Genomic DNA, 2,076 nt, shown 5'->3' with positions numbered 1-2,076 from the left:
ACTGACAAGCCACAATGTAGAAGAATATTATGAGCTGCGTGGAGAAGCCAGAAAGGCTAGCTAGAAGCTGAAGTTCTGTGCAGGATTAGGAAGGCAGAAAATCCAGATTTGCAGGAGTCAGAGGTGCCAGATTAGACAGTTGATACCTTTTGAGTGGGATGGGGAAGGATTTGCACTGCTGGAGGGAAATGTCTATTTTGGGTAGTAACTAAGAGTTTTCTAAGTATTCTAGATGCTGCTGGGAGAGCATGCTCCTTCCCAGCCCATGTCATAGCTTGTTGCAGTAAATGCTGGGGCACAAGAAGCCTGACCTTTTGTACCCTTCTCTGCCACCATGCCTGTGTCAACACCACAGCCTTGGGTGGCAGTGTCAGTGGCAGTGGTTGGAGTGGGATGCAGGTGCCCTACAGGAAGGACCCAGCCCCACTGGCTGAGGGGATCTGTGATGTGAAGGATCCAGCCAACCCTTGGCCACGTGACAGGAACACCATCTGCACCCTGGGCGCCTAGATTTTGCAGCTGCCACAGCCTACTCAGGCATATTTGACACAAGCTTAGCAAATAGCTTTTCCAGGAGGTTTGCAAATTTCCAATCTGCTGTCCCACGTTTTCCTCTACAACTGCCACCAACCAAATGTTAAATTGGATCCAAGACCTGCGGGGTAATCAGCAAACGTACGGGCTCATTGCAGAATTGGAAAGGAGACTGGGCTCAGGTGGCCCTCTGAACGGACTCTTCCTAGAAATTATACTGTTATTATGGCAAAAATTATGATGCCATATATAGGAGTAATTGTCAAATCTTTACTAGCGTATCTGTCTTTACAAGTCGATGTATCCTTAAGACATTACATATAAATTGAACTTTTGTTACTTTAATACAAAATCAGTGCAATTTTTAATGTTATTTTAAGGAATTCTCCAGAAAGCATTCCTTTTGCCAAAGCAAAAAAAAAAAAAAAAAAAAAAATGACCCTCAGTTTGTTTTTGCAAATTGTCTCTAAATGTGGATGTATTTATGTGTGTGTTTGTATCTTCTGTGTGCCTGTGTTGAGGATCATCAGTCTCTTTTGAGAAATGCAGAAAAAGTTGGCTTTAGCACTTCCATGATTAATTTAAAGAGAGAGGGAAAGATTGTTATATATACAAGGTAGTTGGCACTAAGATTTCATCTTCATTGTTACCCACACAACATCATCCACACAACAAAGACATAAATGCAAAATTGCACAGCATGCTGGGATGAATACATTACAGCTCAGATCTGCATTTCAAATTTAGCTTTTTGATATCTTAATATCCATGGGGGTTAAAAGTACTAACTAATTGAAGAACCGGGGACTTCATTGCTGTTACTGAACAAATCTAATTATAGAAAAGACAAATTTATAAACATACAATAGAAATTATCTGGGATGATTAGAGTGTCTCCAACTCCTGTTCTCTTCAGCTGAAATGACCATTTCTCCTCTCATTTCCACATTGGTTACCAAACAACTTTTGCAGGAATTTTCCAAATGATATTGAGTGTGACTTTGGGAGTCAGAGTCATAGTATCTTAGAGCATCGGTCCCCCAACCTTTTTGGCACCAGGGACTGGTTTCTTGGAAGACAATTTTTCCATGGACCTGGGTAGGGAGGATACTTTTGGGATGATTCAAGCACATTACATTTATTGTGAACTTTATTTCTATTATTATTACATTATAATACATAATGAAAGAATTAAACAACTCACAATAATATAGAATAAGTGAGAGCCCTGAATTTGTTTTCCTGCAACTAGACAGTCCCGTCTGGGGGTTACAGTGACAGATCATTAGGCATTAGATTTTCATAAGGAGCATGCAACTTAGATCCTGCACATGTGTAGTTACAATACTGTTCATTCTCCTATGAGAATCTAATGCCACCACTGATGTGACAGGAGGCAGAGCTCAGGCAGTAATGTGAGTGATGGGGAGCAGCTGTAAATACAGATGAAGCTTTGCTTGCTTGCCCACAGCTCACCTCCTGCTGTGTGGCCCAGTTCCTAACAGGCCATGGTGGCTCGAGGGTTGGGGACCCCTGCCTTAG

This window comes from Homo sapiens, chromosome 1 (genome assembly GCF_000001405.40).
Source record: "Homo sapiens chromosome 1, GRCh38.p14 Primary Assembly".
NCBI lineage: Eukaryota > Metazoa > Chordata > Mammalia > Primates > Hominidae > Homo > Homo sapiens.
Note: the sequence above shows the minus strand (reverse complement) of the source record.